This window comes from Homo sapiens, chromosome 12, assembly GCF_000001405.40.
Source record: "Homo sapiens chromosome 12, GRCh38.p14 Primary Assembly".
Taxonomy (NCBI): Eukaryota; Metazoa; Chordata; class Mammalia; order Primates; family Hominidae; genus Homo; species Homo sapiens.
This window is the reverse complement of record NC_000012.12, coordinates 26234791-26254688: the sequence shown is the minus strand read 5'-3', so window position 1 is coordinate 26254688 and position 19898 is coordinate 26234791. Positions and strand designations below refer to the sequence as shown.

General features: G+C 40.6%; 2 long non-coding RNA genes across 9 annotated transcripts in view, besides 3 other annotated features; one reads left to right on the top strand and one right to left on the bottom strand.

The window, feature by feature from the left end:
* LOC105369705 (uncharacterized) overlaps positions 1 to 1817 on the bottom strand; it is a 57584-nt gene extending 55767 nt beyond the window's left edge. For all 3 annotated transcript variants that reach the window (XR_007063249.1, XR_931451.3, XR_931452.3), the window contains exon 1: positions 1769 to 1817. This is a non-coding gene — a long non-coding RNA (uncharacterized LOC105369705). The remainder of the gene's footprint in view (positions 1 to 1768) is intronic.
* SSPN-AS1 (SSPN antisense RNA 1) overlaps positions 1 to 19898 on the top strand; it is a 60672-nt gene that overhangs the window by 17139 nt on the left and 23635 nt on the right. The window lies entirely within an intron of this gene.
* Positions 3924 to 4093: an enhancer, noted in NCBI's record as "experimental_26902 CRE fragment used in MPRA reporter constructs". NCBI's record gives its function as "activates a minimal promoter by MPRAs in K562 erythroleukemia cells, with activity observed for both the introgressed and non-introgressed 12:26403614 variant alleles {active_cell/tissue: K562}" and the evidence as "EXISTENCE:reporter gene assay evidence [ECO:0000049][PMID:34662402]".
* Positions 7428 to 8627: an enhancer, noted in NCBI's record as "MED14-independent group 3 enhancer chr12:26398995-26400194 (GRCh37/hg19 assembly coordinates)". NCBI's record gives its function as "activates an origin of replication core promoter dependent on BRD2, BRD4, P300/CBP and CDK7 cofactors, and independent of MED14, by STARR-seq in HCT116 cells {active_cell/tissue: HCT116}" and the evidence as "EXISTENCE:reporter gene assay evidence [ECO:0000049][PMID:35650434]".
* Positions 9243 to 9422: an enhancer, noted in NCBI's record as "active region_6118". NCBI's record gives its function as "activates an Ori minimal core promoter by ATAC-STARR-seq in GM12878 lymphoblastoid cells {active_cell/tissue: GM12878}" and the evidence as "EXISTENCE:reporter gene assay evidence [ECO:0000049][PMID:35858748]".

Genomic DNA, 19898 nt, shown 5'->3' with positions numbered 1-19898 from the left:
TTAAGATTGTATTGTATCAACTTTCTATTCATTATCTCAATTTCCTCACAAGTTAAATAGGGTTAATGATATTGGTGGGGTTCAGGACACATGACCCCAAAATATGACTGTAGCCCCCAAAATATGCCTATTTGGAAAATTGATTATTTTGAGCTGGTTATTTAGAGAAACTAAAGACACAGGAGTAGTCTCTTTCTTTGAGATCTACTCTAGAGATTTATTTACTCATTTATCTGGATTTCTCCAATGTATATATGAGATATACATGTTAGTAAGCTTCTGTTTGTTTTTGTCTTGTTAATCTGTATATTTTGTTATGGAGAGTTCCAGTTAAGAATTATTAAGGGTAGAGAGAAACCTATTTTTTTCTCCTTTATCATATCCACCGTATTAGATGGTTGTTAACAAACAAGTAAAATGGAAAAAAACTTTAGCACATTGCTGAGCATGTAGCAGGTACTAAATAAATGTTAAGCCCCTTTCCATTTCCCTCTCTCTTCATGCCATGGGATGTGAGCACAAAGTTGGCTTTGAAAACAGTTCTAAAAAGAACAATTTCTAATCGTACTTTTGCTTTCAGTAAATATTGGTATGCTCCATAAGAAAATGTCATAAAAGGGAATCAGACAAGCTGGAAACAGAGCATGGCTTTATTTTTCATCACTATAAGCTGCTGAAGAGCAAACAGTATATCACTTTATTAGTTTCTGTGCAGTTTTTGCACACTATGTCCCTCAATAAATATGAAATCAATACACCAAACTTTCTTAGGCAACTCATAAGTCATCTATGGCTTATCTTTAGGTAATAAAACTAAAAACATAGCATGGAAGTATTTACCATATAAGTTTAAGAAAATCAGAATTAAATAACTGTCACTCTTAAGGTACAAGGAAGTATTTCTGATGGGGAAGAAGTAAAGGGTTGGGAGGTAGTGAGGGATGATAGCAATGGATTTTTTAAACCTGTTTATTTGTCATCTATGTGTTCATTTTACTATTATTGGTTAAACAGAATGTTTGCATTTTGTATGCTTTTTCTTTTGTGTTTTATATTCCAGTTAAAAATAAATAATTCTTATTGAATGGGTTAAGTAAATGCTGAAAGGGTGATTAGCTTCAGTCATTGACTAATAATGATTATAGCTCCCATTTAGTAAGCATTTACTATGTACCAGGTACCATGCACAGGGCTTACATTCACTATCTCATTTAATTTGCCATCTTCAGAATTATCAGCCATGTGCTGTTATCATCATTCTAAAGATGACACTGAGGCTCTGAAAAGTTCATTATTTGCCTAAGATCTCCTGGTGAGGAAATGATGAGGTGGGGTTAGAACTCAGGAGTGTTTGACCTCAAAGCTGGTCCACTTCCTCATGAGACTATTCCAATCTGTGATTATCATACTGACAGAAGTTTTCAGGAAAATGTACTTTATACCACTATCTTTTTTTTTTTTTTTCTGATCACTAGAAAAAAAGTGTTCAAGTATTTACCAGAATATCTCAGGTTGGCTGCCATTTCACAGCTTAGAGAACTAGTCCAGATTGGAGCTGAGGGATATTTCCGGAGAGAGAGGAGATTCCTGGAATTTTTTGAATTCTTAAAAGACTGGATGATTTTTAAGCATTATAAAATAATTTTTTGTTAGGAAGATAAAATTTTAAATCTGTACACAAAAGTTATTGTTCTATCTGAAATAAGCTAAAATATGGCAAATTTTTGAGGATTGATGAAGTATAAGAAAAAAATAGTATCCATTTTACCTTGATTCTGAGAACATTCTCTTTCAAACAGCTCAGAAGTCATGACAATGGATCTGCAGATAAAGATACTAAATATGAGCACACCATTTGGCACTGCTATAAAGAAATTTACTTAGTCTCATTTAAGTAAACGCAATTTATTACTTTTTAAGTTTTAGAATAAACTAATAGTCCAATCATGAAAAGCATAAACATAATCTTAAGTTACTATTAATATTATGGGCTAGTCACTCTTCTAACCACTTTACATGCATGGACTCATTTGTTTCTCACAACAACACCATGAAGTAGGACCTATTTTTCTTCATCTGTAAAATACAGATGAACAAACTGAGCTACAGATAGAGTATCTTGCTTGACCAAATTTAATCAGCTAAAGTGAGTAGAACCAGGTTCAAACAAAGCCAGTCTGCTACAGACCCTTCTCATAACCATGGCACTATCATATCTTAGAACAGAATGTAAATTTTTTTTTTTTTGAGACGGAGTCTTGCTATGTCGCCCAGGCTGGAGTGCAGTGGTATGATCTCTGCTCACTGCAACCTCCACCTCCCAGGTTCAAGAGATTCTCCTGCCTCAGCCTCCCTAGTAGCTGGGATTACAGTTGCCCACCACCACGCCCTGCTAACTTTTTTGTATTTTTAGTAGACACAGGGCTTCACCATGTTGGCTAGGCTGGTTTCGAACTCCTGACCTTAAGTGAACCGCCTGCCTTGGCCTCCCAATGTGCTGGGATTATAGGTGTGAGACACCGCATCCGGCTAATGTAAATATTATTATCCTTGAAAATATAAAAATAAACGTGTAGTGGATAGAAACTAGGATTCAGGAAACAGAGAAGTGATATTAAGGGAACAGTAAGAGTCACGATATCTTCATCTTGTTTGGCTAGTATTTTAGCTTTCTCTTGCTACATAACAAATTACCACAAACTTAGCAGCCTAAAACAACACTCATTATCTCCTAGTTTTCGTGGGTCAGACGTCTTGGCATGAACCAGCTGGGTTTTCTGCTCAATGTCTTGCCAAGCTGCAATCAAGGAGTCAGCCAGGGCTGCACTCTAATCGTAGGTGGGGGCCCTCTTCCCAGCCCACTGACTGTGGTAGATTTTCAGCTCCTTGTTGTTGTAAGATTGGTGTTCCTCATGGAATATTCCAGAGGCAGTTCATGACATGGCTGTTTGCTTTCTTCCAGGCCAGCTGGAAAGCATCTCTGTTGCTTCACTTTCTTTTAAATGACTCGCCTGATTAGGTCAGGCCCACCCAGGACACCTCCCGTTGATTAACTCAAACTTAATTGATTAGTAACGGACCCTGCCCACACTTAAAGGAAAAGGATTACACAAGGTATGCACATCAAGGGATAGAAACTTGGGGGATCATCTTAGAATTCTGCCTACTACAGTTAGGAATCAGGAAAATGGCATCCAAGGTTTACAGACAAGAAATAGATATTTAATGATATTCTTTTTTTTTTTTTGAGACAGAGTATCACTCTGTCGCCAGGCTGGAGTGCAGTGGCGCGATCTCAGCTCACTGCAACCTCCACCTCCTGAATTCAAGCAATTCTCCTGCTTCAGCCTCCCGAGTAGCTGGGACTACAGGTGCGCACCACCATGCCCAGCTAATTTTTGTATTTTTAGTAAAGACAGGGTTTCACCATTTTGGCCAGGATGGTCTCAATCTCCTGACCTCAAGTGATCTGCCTGCCTCGGCCTCCCAAAGTGCTGGGATTACAGGCATAAGCCACCGCACCCAGCCTATATTTCTAAAATAAAGATTAATTGAATAAAGATTAATACCATAAAAACACCTACTTGTAAGAATGACAAAAAAAGAAGAAAGTATGTAATACTAGTAAATGTTAGGAGGAAGGAAGGAAGGAATTCAGGGGTTGAATGCGAGCCAAGTTAGTTCTCAGCCTTGATTTCACAGCAGAATCATCTGAATATCTTGAAAAATGACTAATAACTTAGAACCCGCCCAAGACAAAATAAGTCAGAATTTATAGGGGTGGGGACAAGTTATAGATATGTTTTAAAAGCTCTTCAGGTGATTTTAATCTGCATCCAGCTAGAAAACCTCAGAGCTGAATCTTCATCTTTCTTAATAGAGAGGTCATTGGAATTCCCCCCAACCTAAAGTTGATAATAGAGATATAATCATGTTATTTGGAATTGTGAAAACAACCATCAGAAGCACTACCTCCAATGAAGAGTGGGGCTGGGAAGTTTGGGAGCGTAGAATTAGCCAATTAGTGCTCAGTCCAAATCTGCCTGCACTATTTTTTTTTAATCATCTGCATGTATTATGTTGACTTATTTAAAAAATATTTCAGGTGGGTGCAGTGGCTCATGCCTATAATTCTAGTACTTTGGGAGGCTGAGGTGGTCAGATTGCTTGACTTCATGAGTTCAAGACCAGCCTGGGCAACATGGCAAGACCTCATCTCTACAAAAAAATACAGAAGTTAGCCTGGCATCATGACACGCACCTGTAGTCCCAGCTACTCGAGAGGCTGAGGTGGGAAGACAGCTTGAGCCAAGGAGGTTGAGGCTGCAGTGAGCCATGATTGCACTACTGCACTACAGCCTGGCAAGAGAGCGAGACCCTGCCTCAAAAAAAAAAAAAAAAAAAAAGGAAAAAGAAAAAAAAGGTTTCAGAGCTTGTAGTCCCTTCAACAAGTGAAAAGTCAACACTTCCTATATGATTAGCACTAAAACCTTACCAGCCAATATGACCTAGCTATTATGTGCTTTTCTTTAAAAACACATGCCCTAAACCTAATGAAACAAGTACTGGGGTTTGTTCCTTTGGTGTAGAAATGCACATAATTTTCATGCTATCTCATTTTTTAAAAATTCTGCCCCCTCGCCACCCTTTTCACTTCCTGTGTCAGTAAGCATTAATTCAGAATAGCTTTTGTATGCATTTCCTATTGCTGTAACAAATACCACAAACTGGATGTCCAAAAACAACAGAAATTATCTGTAGTAGTTTGATAGTCCACAAATCTGAAATTCATTTCACCACCCTGAAAACCAGGTGTGAGTTGACAGGGCTGCAGATCTTCCAAAGCCTCTAGGGGTAAATCCACTTCTTGCCCCTTCCAGCTCCTGGTGGCTGCCAGCATTCCTTGGTTGGTGGCCACATCACACCAATCTCTGGTCAGATTGCCTTCTCCTCTTCTGCGTCAAACTCCCTCTGTGTCTCTCTTATGAGGATACATGTGATTGCACTTAGAGCCCTCCTGGGTAGTCCAGGATAACCTCCCCACTTCAAGATCCTTCACTTAATCATGTCTGCAAAGTCCCTTTTTTCCATATAAGGTAACATTTACAGCATAAGGTAACATTACAGGTGCCCCTAACCCCCAGACCACAAACCAGTACAGGTCCTAGGCCTGTTAGGAACCAGGCCACATAGAAGGAGGTGAGCGGCAGTCAAGCTAGCAAAGCTTCGTCTGTATTTACAGCTGCTACCCATTGCTCACATTACTGCCTGAGCTCTGCCTCATGTCAGATCAGTGGCACCATTAGATTCTCATAGGAGCGCCAACCTTATGGTGAACTGTGCATGTGAGGGATCTAGGTTGTGTGCTCCTTTTGAGAATCTAATGCCTGATGATCTGTCACTCTCTCCCATCACCCCCAGGTGGGACCATCTAGTTGCAGGAAAACAAGCTCAGCACTCTCACTGATTCTACATTATGCTGAGTGGTATAATTATTTCATTATCTATTATAGTGTAATAACAATAGAAATAAAGTGCACAATAAATATAGTATGTTAGAATCATCCCAAAACCATGACCCTTCTACCCCCTCCATGGAAAAACTGTCTTCCACAAAACTGATCCCTGGTGCCAAAAAGGTTGGGGCCCACTGATTTACAGGATCCTAAGGATTGGAACACGGATATTGTTGTAGGACTTCAGTCTACCATTATTTTTTACATTTTTAATCATTGAGCTAGCTTCCAATGTCTGTTCAGATGAAGGAAATATATCTGAGGTGAAAATGAAATTTTAAAATCTAATTTATTTGGAGCTCTGGAAACACTATGAAAGGAAAATACATGATAATGGGAAGTGTCCGTATTTTTCAGAGTTAAGTATTTTATTTGTCTTGTTTATAGTAGATTCTCCTATTTTATGTAGATCTCCCTATTTTATTTACTATTTGACTTCTGTTTTTTACTCTTAAAATATTTTGTTTCATTATATCTTTCTTTTAAGTTGGTAAAGAGCAAATAAGATGAACTGAATATACCTACAAGTAATTCATGTTTTCATGTATTCTTTGCTAATAACTACTCTGTTCAAGACCATCATAATTTTCTTCAACATTAACTTTGGTTTTTTAAAAAAGATATTTGTTTGCCTTCTGTACATATTTGCTTTCAACAACAAGAAGCTCTGTGGCTATGAAGTCTGTTTACTTGTAGTCTCAGAGAATACCAGGTTTTTAAAACTCCATCCTTTCAGAAGAACAGTATTATGTAATTTTAGCCATATTGGATATACTCACAGTTTGTAATAAAAATAATCCTCCCTTTTCTTTCAGATTTGTCCGCCTCTCCTGTTTAAAGTTTTTGAAAGAAAATAAAGATGGAAGGAAGGAAGAGAGGGAGGGTGGGAGGGAGGAAAGAAGGAAGGAAGGAAGGAAGGAAGGAAGTCAGTCAGTCAAAATAAAAGAAGTATTTGAAGGAATTTCATAGGTCAACACCCCAAAACGTTTACTTGCTCCAAGAACTTTCATTGACTGTGTCTTCCAGGGTGGTGCAATGTCTTTGGACAAAGAGAGACCACTGTGGTTAAGCACGAGGGTAAAACTGAAAGTTCTCCTCTGGGTCTCAGAGGGAGGCTTGGTGCTCTGAGTAAATATGGATAAACCACGCCACTTGTAAATTACTGGTTTTTTGTTCCTTAAACCAAGTTGTGCCTTCTCTTAATGGATATGTAAGTCCAAGGGGCTTAGTGAAAAAGCCATCCAGCTTTTTCTTCCCTATTGTGACCCTGTTCTGGTCACGAAGAAATGTCTTAAATGTTGGCTTTCAAAAGTCAATGTCCAGCATGACTTCTGTGTGAATGGTGCTGTTTCATTTCAGGTATTAATTTTATAAAACGGTTTCCAAGAAATACTTAACTTATTTTCTAATCTAGCCCTTCCTTTTATACTTCTGAGAAATTGTTCATCTTTCTAAATATCCAATTTGTAGTAACAGTCAATTATAAAAACATAAAATATTTTGACAACTCAAACTGTGTCTCTGCCCACTCATATATCTTCCCTGTGTTTATGTCTGGGTATATATGTGTGTGTCACATGTGTGAGTGGGAAACACAGGTGATAAACTTCATGTCACTCTACTGCTTGCAAACACTCCAATGGCTCCCAACTTCCTTACAGTGGCTTGTAAGCCCCTCTGCAATCTGACAGCAACTGACCACTTCATTCCCGTGCGGTAGTAGCTGGCCCCACAGACACTCTGATCAAGGGACCCATGTCTTCTTTCTGTTGCTCTGATTGCCCAGCCTCATTCCTGGGATTGGCATTTGCCGTTCCTTCTACCTATAATGCTTTTTCCCCATATTGTTGGCTGGCTATCATTTATTATTCAGGTTAAGGATCAAATGGCATGTCCTTCCCTCACCATCCTTCCCAATATTGCCCTACCTCTTTTCTCTCTTCTGTAAGAGCACCCTCTTCATAGCACTTGCCCACTATCTAAAATGTTCTATTTATTTGTCTTTTCATTGTCTGTCTCTCCTTCTGGATGTAGTGAGCTTGTCTGTTTTATTGGTCCTATATATCCAGCTCCTAGAACAATGACTAGCACAAAATAGGTATATTAAAGCTTTTACATTTCCTTTCCCTCTTGCCCTCATTTCTTATCCTGTGACCAAGAGGAGAAGCTCAGATGACTCAAAGATCTATAGATCCAGTGATAATAAAATATACCTCATGGCAGAAGATCAAGGAAGGGCTTGGAGTGCTAGGATCTTGACAAAGGCTTGGGGGTTGGTGACGCAAACACCTCCTCCTCTACCCACCACGTTCCCACTCTACCACTCCAACCTCAGCTGACCAAGCAACATCTTGGTCACCTCTTCCCCCAATTCCACTTGGACTATGGAGCACATCAATGATTTAATGATCCAGGAGGTACTGGGCATTTCTAACAGAGGCCCTTCAGGCACAGGTGATTAAGGAAGCTGGAGAGATGGTGCACATTCCTCCAGCTTTGGTACACAAGCCCTGCCCTCGCTCACACCCTGGGCTGATGTGGTGAGTCACTCCAGGTAAGGGGTAACACAGGGCCAGAGGCGACAGCAGTGAGGCCTGTGTTTTTCTTGCTTCAGAGCAGGAGAGTTGAAATGGAAACTCCTAGCCACACAGAACTGGGAGGCAGGGAGCTGTGAAAGTGGTGGTCCAGTCTTTGCACAGGCAGAATTACTTTCATTATTGCTCAATTTGAATTAGGTTAAAAGCAGATAGATTATTTTTAAGTCTCTTTTCTCTTTTCAGTAGATATCGCAAAGTCTAGAAATTGATATAATTTAAAGGTAATGAAAAGAAAGTTCAGCAGCTGCATCATGTTTCATGCTGTCCTTTCCTTCTCCTGGGGTGGGCCTCGCCCCCTTCCTCCAGTCTTCTGTTGTGTTGCCAAGGGCACTGCTCAGAGTGCAGGAGATGGTTCTGAGGCCATGGAAGGCTTCCCCGAGCTCACTTCACATTAGCCACTTACCAAGATAAGCTGGAGCCGGGTCCTTTTTTCAGGTTGAGCAGGTGAAGAATGTTTCTAACTGTTCCGGCGGCATGGCCGATGATGGTGCTTATTTCTGTTGTACCTACGGACTCCCACGTCCAATGTGTGTTAGCTTTAAGTTGCATATTTGGTCGCTCTCTCAAATGCAGTGGGGAGGGCTAAGACCTGATTGTTTTGGAAGGAGTTTACACAATTAACCAGGTTCTCCATTCATTATGGGTGTTGTGTGTTTGCACTGGTGGTTGTAGGAAAGACAAAGAAAAAAAAATCAGAAACATGGGAAGGTTTTCCTGCCGCATGATTTCATTAGCAGGATCAGGGACTCCCAGATCACTCTTTTTCTTTCCAGCATAAAACGGCCTTCAGAAGGTTTTGGCGTCAAGCCAATTAATTGCCATTGGAAATTGTCTTTAGATTCCCTCTCTACTTTCCACTTCTTCCTTGTGTGCTAGTAATTATGTGATATCTCCTGAGACTTCCACTGCAAACTCACTGAAGGCAAAAGCACTGACACGGAACCGGAAGGACTGAGGATCTGATGGAAAACAGAAAGTCCCATTACTTGCCCACTATCCCTTTTCATGCATCATAGTGGGGCTGGCTCTGAAATCCTGGGGCTTTTTAGAAGTCCCAGCATGTATCTCCCCTGGAGGACCAGCCCATCTTTGAGAAGGGCATCACCAATGGCACAAGAAGAAGGCTAAGCAGAAATATTGAATGCTTATTGGCAATAGGGGCATTAGCAACAGAGTCTAAAACCCAATTCCACTGCTGAAGACTTGGTGGCAGGAGCGCCACTTCCTGTTGTAGATCTGATGACACAATGAGAAAGCACAGTGCATACTAGGCTAGTTTCAGAGAGGACTCATTATATTAGCCAGAAACTAGACTTTAATGTAAAAGTCTGAAGCCTATCAGGGATTTCTCTAGGAAAGCACACTCTGGAAACTGCTCTCTATTTCAGTGTTAACTGCAAGCATGCATGCCTTCATGGTTACAGCTGAGTTTAGGTACAGGAAAAAGGATTCCTCGCGCTCTCATCAAGCTGTAACTCTAGTGTTCCTGAGCACCTAGTCAAGTATAATAAAATAATTCCCCTCCTCTTCCATCTCTAGCCCATATTTTCAGATTCAAAGATGAGCTGGGAAACAGGGTTGATAACAGGTAATGATAATGATAAGCACAGATTGCGCCCTTAGAATGTTCCAGGCACTCTTCCCAGCGCATTACAGAGACAAACCCATGTATGCCTCACAATGACCCTATGAGATGGGTGCTCTTATTACCCCCGTTTTATGGATGAGGGAACGAACTTGGGTATAGAGTAGTTGAGGAATTTGTCCACGTATATATATAGCTAGTAAATGGTAGCAAAACCTAGGCTTGGACACGAGGCAATATGACTGGTCTCAAGTCTGTTTTTAACCACTGAACCACACTGTGGCAGGCGGGCAGCTTCCTCGGGGATTGCAGTCGCCAGTGTTACATAATCAACACCAAGGGCTCATTCTTAAGGAAAGAGGCTGTTTGGTCTGCCCCTTACTGTTTTCTAGTCACGCTTACAGCTACCCTTCTTCAAATAGGTCTTGGGTCCCCCACATCACCTTTTCCCTTTCTTCATTCTCGGAGAATATGAGTAACTTCCATTTTATTTACTTCTTTTATTCTAAAAAATAAATATAGAAGAAAAATCCTGGGTATATTAGCAAAATAAATGTCAACATTTTGCCCTGTCCCAGAAAAAAAGAAAAAATAATGAGTTATTGCCTAATATCCTTGAGAATACTGGGCAGGGGTTTCAAACCTGTTGAAATTAGGGTTTATACATTTGCAGATCCCAATCAAATAGGAAAAAGAAGATAAATCATAAGACAAAGAGTAAAGGGGGGAAAAGGAGGGGGAGAAAAACATATGCCAGTTTTAAGCCAAGAGTTTATGTTAATAAGAAAAAGAGTTGAGGTGAGTGAGCCTAAACGAGTCATCTAACCTCATCTGGCCTCAGTTTGCTTTTCTGTAAAATACACAAGCTGGACTGGAAGGAATCTGTCCAGCCCTAACATAGTGATTTTAAGATAAGAAGTAACTGCAAAGGTGATCGAATTGGGAGTAAACTAAAAGAGGTTGTAATGATATTTCCTTTTCCCTTTTCATACTTTTCCTTATTACAGGAAAACAAGTATAATAGATAACTTTTGACTACAAGTAACAAGACCTAAAATTAAGGGCAGAAGATTTTAATATATTATAATAAATAGGTAACATTTGACTCTAAGTAACAAGACCTAAACTAAAGAGCAGAAGATTTCTCACCTTTGCTAATGTCAAGGGCCATGACTGCACTGGGACAACAATGCCCAGAGGTAGAGTGTGGATGAGGGTATAATCTGGGGGTGGAAGAAGAGAAGTATCCCTCAAAAGTACACTAAAATCCAGTAATTTCATAAAAACCCCACCTGAAGCCTAATTCCTCTTACAAAAGAGTCCATGACCTTCAATAAATCCTAAGTTTGCCAGAACACAGCGTGAAAACCTTAGTGCCTATCTTTAAGTACCTCACATGTTCATTCACTCTGACCTTCAACTCTTTTTCATCCAGAAACTCTTTTGTGTTATACGAGGAATGAATGCAAAGCTCTGTGGGCAGCTATCCAAGGGTTTCCATGCTGACGTCTCCTTGGTCCCTCACCCTAGTTTTGTTTCTTCTTCCTCTGCATGAAAGAAAAGCAGAGAAAGAGTGAACTTGGAGTAGGAGGGGAGGTGGCTTGGGGTCAAGCGTCGTGTTGGCTATGCCCTTCTTTTGACCTCATAGATCCACTACTTTTGGAGCAATGACTGTGGCTTGGAGTGTTTGTTCATGGTCTGATCAGATCCTGTGACATTTCTCCCAAAGGCAGGAAGGCATCTCTCCCCCAGCAAGATTGTTTGGTCCTGTCTATATTTCATGTCTATTTTTAATTCACCAGGAGGCTACAAATCTAAATCTCATCTATCTTAGCTCTTAAGGGTACCCAAAATGACAATTTATAGAACTCTACATTTAGGTTTGAACAGAATAGCCTTGCATTTTAAGCCCACTTCTGACACCACCCCATGGAGCCTGGGGCAGGCAATGTGGCCTGGTAAGAACAGCTTTGGAAAAGGCCCCTGAAGGTGTTGTTTCTTGGATTCCAGGGCTGACCTTGACTGTCTGGACATGAATCTATAAAATTTGAGGAAACCAGTTTGCTCTGCACCTTCCTACTGTCACACAAAAGTCCCTACCAGGGCTTTGCCAAAGTCCAGCTCTTATATGGAACCTGAGTTACTACTGGTGCTGGGCAGGGCTCAGGGACAGAGCTTAATGGAGGGGCAGGAAGAAAATAACTTGGCCAGCTGCATTGAAGAAAGTAGTCATATATATCTGTGCAAACACTTAATTCATAAAACCTACCAGAGTCTCAAAAACAAAGATGGTGGGATTTTCCTTTCCAAAGTACACTGCTCATTACCCTAAGCTTTTGTTACTTTTTTACTCCCTGAAAGGTTGTATAAGGTATTTCTTATAATCTAAAGTTACCTGCAGTTATGGAAGTAGGGGAGTGGCCAATGGGATGGCTCTGGGCTCTAAAAGTCTTATTCTGTCCCTAGCATCATTCTCCCAGGTCAGTGAGCCTCAGGATTCCTAGATGCCAGGACTTGGAAGCCTGACCCAGTTTGCCCATGGAGTACAGATTATGGCTTGGGAACAAACACAAGAAAATCTTCTCTGTTGCACTTTCTAATGTTTGCAGAGGGCAGAGGGATTGCTGTTTTGTACTTAGGCTCCAGCGGATACAAACTATTGTCTTATGTTTCTGCAAAGTGTTTTGCTATAGGAATTTTAGGTGCTACAGTTATTTTCCTGATTTCCTGATATTCCTATGAATTTCTATTTATTGACAGTTTCTCACCATCACCATCATCATCACCACCATCATCAAACACTTGCATAGCATTGTTCTATATCTATTATATAAAATAATTATCATTCATTCTTCACAAGCCCCTGTTTATTATCCTTCAGATGAGGAAACTGAGGCAAGGAGGCACAAACAGATTTGGTGGCTTGTCTGAGGCCTCACTGGAATTCAAACACAGGCAAACTTGTTCCAGAACTATTCTCTTAGTGACCATAATATGTGGCCTCTCCGATACATATAAATACTAATTCAAGAGCTCTTTAAAATATTACTCCGTGGGATTTCTCAAGTCTAGTTAAAGAGCATGGTTTGCATGTTATTTTTATGTACTTAAACTATGTAGACGATTCTTAAGGAGTTTTTGCTTTAAGTTTTATTGTTATTGTGATCTTGAAGTGATAATGTATTGATATTTCAATTCTACTCCTTGCTTCAGTCCTTTAACTTCCCCATTTTTGATCTTGTCTCTAAAATTTCCTAAACTAGAAGTATTTTTAGAGCCAGAAGAGGCCAGGGGACAAATAAGAAGGGAAAATGACTCTATTAGAAGTCTCTATTGGCTTGGTAAATTCCCATAATTTCCAGTTGGAAAACTTTTTTCCTTATAATTTTTGGGTAGCATTTGAATGAAGACACTCTAGAAAGAGTGTTTTATACTATTTTATTAATAATCTTCAGAGAAGATTTACTTAATATACTGCAGAAATAGGGCTTATACAAAGATCCCTTGGTAATTTCTTCCATTTCTTACAGATTCATAGTTAGGACTTTCATCCTAATGTCTATTCTAAATTATTCCTAGTCAGTTAGTGTTGAAAAAGAAAATGGATTTGTAATGACACTTCCATGAGCATTTCGAGCACTGCCTTTTGAGTTCTTGTCCTTGCAGTATAGGTAGCCCCACCCATTTTGGATGCAGATTGTATTCACATAAAACGGAAGCAATTTCATTTTCTTATCTGAGGTGGACTTGAACTTCACCTTGTCTCCTGGGGATAATAAATCAAAAGGAATTGATTTTTTTTTTTTCACATTAAAGTTGGTGGGGTTTTCAAATTATGTGTTCTAAAATTTTGCCCTGTAAAGTAGGCAAGTAGCTCCTTCAAGAAGCTTGGGCCCAAAGACTGAAGAGGTGTGATCCTTGGGGAAATCTCTCTTTTAAAGCCAGAATGAGAAACGCTTTCTACTCTCAGCATTTTGAAATGTGATGAGCTGAAGATGATGAGACCTGAGCCACATGTATACACAAAACTGAGTGTAGCACAATTTCTGGAACTCTCAGTTTTGCAACTGCTGTCCAAAGATGCACGCAGTGAACCTGGTGGACTGGCGCCTGACGTGGAGGCTTTAAGGGAGGTGGGAGGGACAGCCACAGCACGGGTAGGCAGCCTCTCACCTCTCCTCTGCATGCTGCCCAGGGATGCTCCACAAGGCAGTTGGAGAGGGCTGTGCCTCACCAAGTTCAGGAATCCCTTCTGAAAGCTTGTCGAGGACTCACATGTCACTGAGCAGGGAAAGAAATGTGCCTCCACCTGAAACAAGTCACATAGCTGGTCCCAGATGAGAAAATGTCTGCTGCAGAAAGAAAGAAGCAAAGGACTTGCAGGATCCTTGAAAGACCATGAGGTCCATGGGGAGGAGAGAGCAGGCTGGAGCAGGCTGTCCCCTCTCTTTCTCCTGCTCCTCTCCCCAGGGCTGCTCTGGCAGCAGAACCAGATGGAAATGTCACCTAGTGCAGAGTGTTTTATTCTTCCTGGTCTACACCCCACCTTAAACAGTGAAAGCTCCTTGGCAACATCATGCAGAGGTTCTTTTCATTTTTAATTAAATCCTAAGAGATATATTTTTTTTCCTAAAGGTGCCAGCTTAAAATAATTACTAGAATTCCCAACAGGGCTAATCAGAGACTTATAGAAAATAAAAATGAAGGAGAATGCCCTACCCAATGGGTTTCTGTCATTTTGCTCAGAAGGCTCTTGCAGTCCAGGGCAGCGATCACAGTTCTTGGCATTAGGGGCTATTAATAGGAGCCTTGAAATAAATCCCTATCCAGTGAGATAAGGAAAACTTATTTCACTGCCTGAGTATCTCTCCTCTGATGACCAGACACCTTCCATTTTCATCAGCTGTTTATCAAAATCAGATTAGTAAAAGAATAATCAGATCAGAATTGTTTATGCCTGTCTCAATCTTGAATTACAAATGACTTTCATGTGCTGCCTGGGCGAAGTACCGTGACCTATAGATGAACTAGCCTTTGTATTTCCTGCACCTTGTACTGAACTTATAATTTCCCAAAGACCACAAGTCATTAAGTCTCATTGTTGATTATTGATCTAAGTAAGATAGGTGAGGCTAGCTCCATGGGGGCTGTGGATATGTGGGCAATAGATTCTCTTTGTGATAAGTCATAAGTCACTAATGGGTTGTTTTGAGCTCTCCCAAGTGGAAGACAATGGAGCCTTTAGAAGGTTGTGGAGTTACGTAAGACATCTCTTTCCAAACAAAGAGGAGGCAGGACACCCAGCCAAAGGGTTGAGCACAGGAGGCTGTGTGGTCTGGTGGTTCCAGGGAGAGACGTGGGGCCAGGGCTTCCTGGGTTCAGCTACCAGCCGAGACTCTGAGTCAGGGGGGAGCAGAGCCAAGTCTCTTGGCTTGAGGCAGATAGACTGTAAAACCAGGAGAGAGAAAACCGCAGGTCTGTGCTCAAGGACTCTAGGGGAAAAACACATTCTGGAAATTAAAAAAAAAAAGAGAGAGAGAGAGTGAGAGAGAGATCACCCTGTTAAGTTACAATTTGGGACTTTTTCAACAAGAAATGAGCATCTTTCCTGCTGATTGGCTGACATGTCCTCCTCTGGGCAGCACTGTGAAGCCCAGCCAGTATCTGAGGGTGTTCTGTGTGGAATGAATAGAGAAGCTCAGGGGTCTGAGCAAAGCCAGTCAACCTTGGTGAGTTGTCACAAGGAATGCTTAGGGAGCCGGGCCCTGGGAGCAAAGAGGTTCTGCATGAATTCTTCCCTTTCACTCATCCTGTCTTCCACAGTAAAATGTCCTCTGAAATCATGGGAGGAAAAATCCCTTCCTGCCAGCTTCTTCTGGATACCTCCCTTCCACCAGTCTGAGCACAGAGTTGTAACCAGCAACCTGTTTAGCCACAGATCCACACAGGTTTCCAAGCCACAGCCAGGGCTGGGGCTGATGGTCCATGTTCTCCAAGTCCCATGAGCCCTGAAAGTCTGATAATTCTGGTCAGACAGAGTGGGTGGCCACCTACATGGTGAGTTTGAAGGATGACTGGGTGGGTCTCCACTCCTTGGCAGGGTGCCGCATTTCTCTGGATCTGAAAGTTTTTCTGATTGTTAGAAATAGCCTGTTAAAATGAAAACCATATTTATGAAGAAATCTCTGTATTCAGCATGAGCACTTGAGTCAATAATATCTTAATAGAGTCCCATAGAAATGGGACAGGAAATGAAGGAGGGGCAGATTTTGCTGTGGAATAAGGTTGGGGGAGGAAGTTTCTTATCTGGAGGAGCAGAGGGATCCCAGGAGGGGACAGAGAGATGAATCAGGTGGAGAGAGCCTTTCTAATAGTTTCTCCCGGAATGTCTGGAACAATATTAAAATCTAGTGGTGGGTGGGCGTGAATTGTACCAGGAGCAATGCTTTTACTTGTAATTCAAGCCAGGCCAAATGGAATCCACGTTTTCACTTGTGGGCACCTTGTCCAGCCACCAAGTACACTCATGATGTCACTCCTCCCTGCATTTGCCAGAGTGCACATTCCCTGCCACTGGTTAAATAGCCATGCTCAATGTCCCAAGTCCTAAGCTTCCCCATATTAAAATGAAGCAGTGATCTCTCCTTTTACAATCTTATAACCATCCTTTTGTCACTTTGTTGCAATCTAGGGAAAAATTAATAAAAAATTAAGTCTACTCTTGCGAGCAAAAGTATCTGAGGAAGGAACGTTATCTATTTTGTAAAAATACCTGAGTGAAAGAATGAAAACTAATCCACTGAGGTTAGTGACAGCTTTAATCACATAATTTTCAGACTCTGCTTCCTCTGCTTATGATAATTCACTATGGCTGGCGCACCACTTTCAGGCCCTCCCTGGGTAACCGTGCTCTAACAAACACATGTCTAGGAAAACGTAGAGAGACCACTTGGGGGTGGATTTCACAAGATTATTCTCATCTTCTCTGGTCACAGTGCCACTGTCCCCTGTGGTCCTTGAGAGTCCTCCTCCTGCTCTCTACAATCACACCTGGCCAAGCAAAGACAACACAGTGAGAATTTCTGGGGGGAAATGTCTGGGTAGGAAATCAAACAGAGTAAACAAGGCACCCTGCCTAGAGAGAGGTGCTGTCCAAAGTCTCTAGGTTTGGGGTCTCTAAAGCGCCCACTGACCTCTCCTTGTTCAGTTGCCTCGTTGGGTATTGTCTAAGTCTCCTCCACAATTCCTGGCAGCACCAGGTGGGTCTCAGTCCCATTCTGGGCCCTGCCTTCCTCTCCAGCAGGCTTTCCTGTGGGAGAGGAAGGACCAGCCCTTGTCCCACAAAAGTGACTCCAGGCTTCCTCATCCCTCAGTCAGAGAGTCTTGTTAAACAGAAGACTTCATGTCTCAGATAAAATCTGTGTTTTAGTATTACTGTTGTAGTATGTTTTAATATTATGTTATAGTATGTTCATGTAGACATGAATATATCTCCCCCATCCCTTTGATTAAAGGACCTGTCTAATGACACCCTCAAACAACAACAAAAAAACTTCCTCTAAGTACCCATGCTTTGGAAGGGATCAATAAACATATATAAATAAATGTTTGCTGGAAATAATGAGTTGTTGTCTCTGAGCTGGCATCCCCATATATTAGTTTTATTTTCACTTACAATATGAATTTTAAAATATATAATATCTAATATTAGTCTTATGCTTTACAAAGTTTAACTTATAAAATATATGAATGTGCTAAGTGAAAAATAAAATAACATATCATGAACTATTAAGATAGATAGGCTCTATCAAGGGAAAAGGTCAATTAATGGCTGTTTAATTTCAATAACTAAATCTGCCACAAATTTGAAGGTTCATGTAAATGTTTTCATATCCAGTTTGCAGAATGAAGCTCCATTTGGTATTTTCTGATTGTGCTCAAAAGTAAACCTTGTATGATTCTTAAATGAGAATCAGTGACCCACAGGGTCAAGCATACCAAAGGTGCTTAATGGTTGCTTTTAAAATAAATGAGGAATTGTACATTATAACCTAATATATGGTGGACTGATAATGTACAAAAGATTGGTTTCTAAAAGTTGGGGGAAAATACGCTTCTATTACATTAAGTTAGAAGTTATATGAAACACAGGAGAAATATCTCCAGTTCTACTTCTTCCTGGGAGAAGAATTGAGAGAAGACAGTCACATTCAAGACACATCCAAATATGTAAAACAACAAAGGGATCCAACCAATACATAATTTTGTGTGCTATATGTCTAGCTACAAAAGTTGGTGCTATCTTATTTTAAAAGCAGGATTTCTGTTTGAGGCCCATTTCATGTTTCTGGTTTACAACAAGGAAGTCACACAGTAAAGCAGCGCTCCTTTTCTACTTTGATGTGCGGACAGGAGCCTGCAGTAATGAGGAGACAAGTCCCAGGCTATGTGGAACTGGGCTAAGGTAGGAAGAAACCAAATGTGTATTAAGCAGCATCTAGAAGCCAGTTGCTTTGCTAAGTGCTGTTTCATTGAACCTTCCCCATGTTGCTGTGAGGTAGTTATATTTTTCTCCACTTTACACATGAGGAAACTGCAGATGGAATGCTTTGCCCAAAGTCACACAGCAGTAAGTGGCAGCCAGACTTGCAACTCGAGGCCCTACCACCTTAACATGAATGATAGAAAGTCCAGATCATTGAGAAGTGTCTGTTCATATCCTTCATCCACTTTTTGATGGGGTTGTTTTTTTCTTGTAAATTTGTTTAAGTTCCTTGTAGATTCTGGATATTAGCCCTTTGTCAGACGGATAGATTGCAAAAATTTTCTCCCATTCTGTAGGTTGCCTGTTCACTCTAATAATAGTTTCTTTTGCTGTGCAGATGCTTTTTAGTTTAATTAGATCCCATTTGTCAATTTATACAGCCAAAAAACATATGAAAAAAAGCTCATCATGCAAATCAAAACAACAATGAGATACCATCTTACACCAGTTAGAATGGCGATCATTAAAAAGTCAGGAAACAACAGATGCTGGAGAGGATGTGGAGAAATAGGAACGCTTTTACAATGTTGGTGGAAGTGTAAATTAGTTAAACCATTGTGGAAGGCAGTGTGTCAATTCCCCAAGGATCTAGAACCAGAAATATCATTTCACCCAGCAATCCCATTACTGGGTATATACCCAAAGAGTTATGAATCATTCTACTATAAAGACACATGCACATGTATGTTTATTGCAGCACTACTCACAATAGCAAAGACTTGGAACCAACCCAAATGCCCATCAATGATAGACTGGATAAAGCAAATGTGGCACATAGACACCATGGAATACTATGCAGCCATTAAAAAGGATGAGTTCATGTCCTTTGCAGGGACATGGATGAAACTGGAAACCATCATTCTCAGCAAACTAACACAGGAACAGAAAACCAAACACCACATGTTCTCACTAATAAATGGGAGTTGAACAATGAGAACACATGGACACAGAGAGGGGAACATCACACACCGGGGACTGTCGGGGAGTGGGGGGCTAGGGGAGGGATAGCATTAAGAGAAACACCTAATGTAGATGACGGGTTGATCGGTGCAGCAAACCACCATGGCATGTGTACACCTATGTAACAAACCTGAACATTCTGCACATGTATCCCAGAACTTAAAGTATAATTAAAAAAAAAAAAAAAAAAGAAAGAAAGAAAGAAAAAGAAAAGAAAAGAAAATTTAGATCAGAGAGTGTGTTCTGGGCTTGTGAGTCCTGGGCTTTACTAAGAACATAAAAAGAACCACTGTATTTTACAGTATAATCAACTGTTTAAATTGCCTCAGACTTGGGTTCTGATCTGAAATGGAAAAGGCTGTCTGTTTTTCTTTATAATAAAATAGAGAATATGACTTGTGAATCCCATTCTTCAGGACAAACTTTAGTTGCTATTGGTAGATATAAAGTAAGAATCAGCATTCCAGGTACGTTTTACAAGACTTTTTCCAGCCAGACTCTCTTTGCCTTGGGAACAATTACAACCTTGACTTCTACGATGGATACAGAGTAGCAAAGCAGAGACAGTCACTGGAACAAAGGAGTCACAGTGAATATTGGTTTTTGTCTTTCCAAAAACAGATTTTTGAAATAAACACTAACTTGAGAGATTTTATGTGTACCAGTTCATCTGTAACATAAGTTACTTTAAAGCA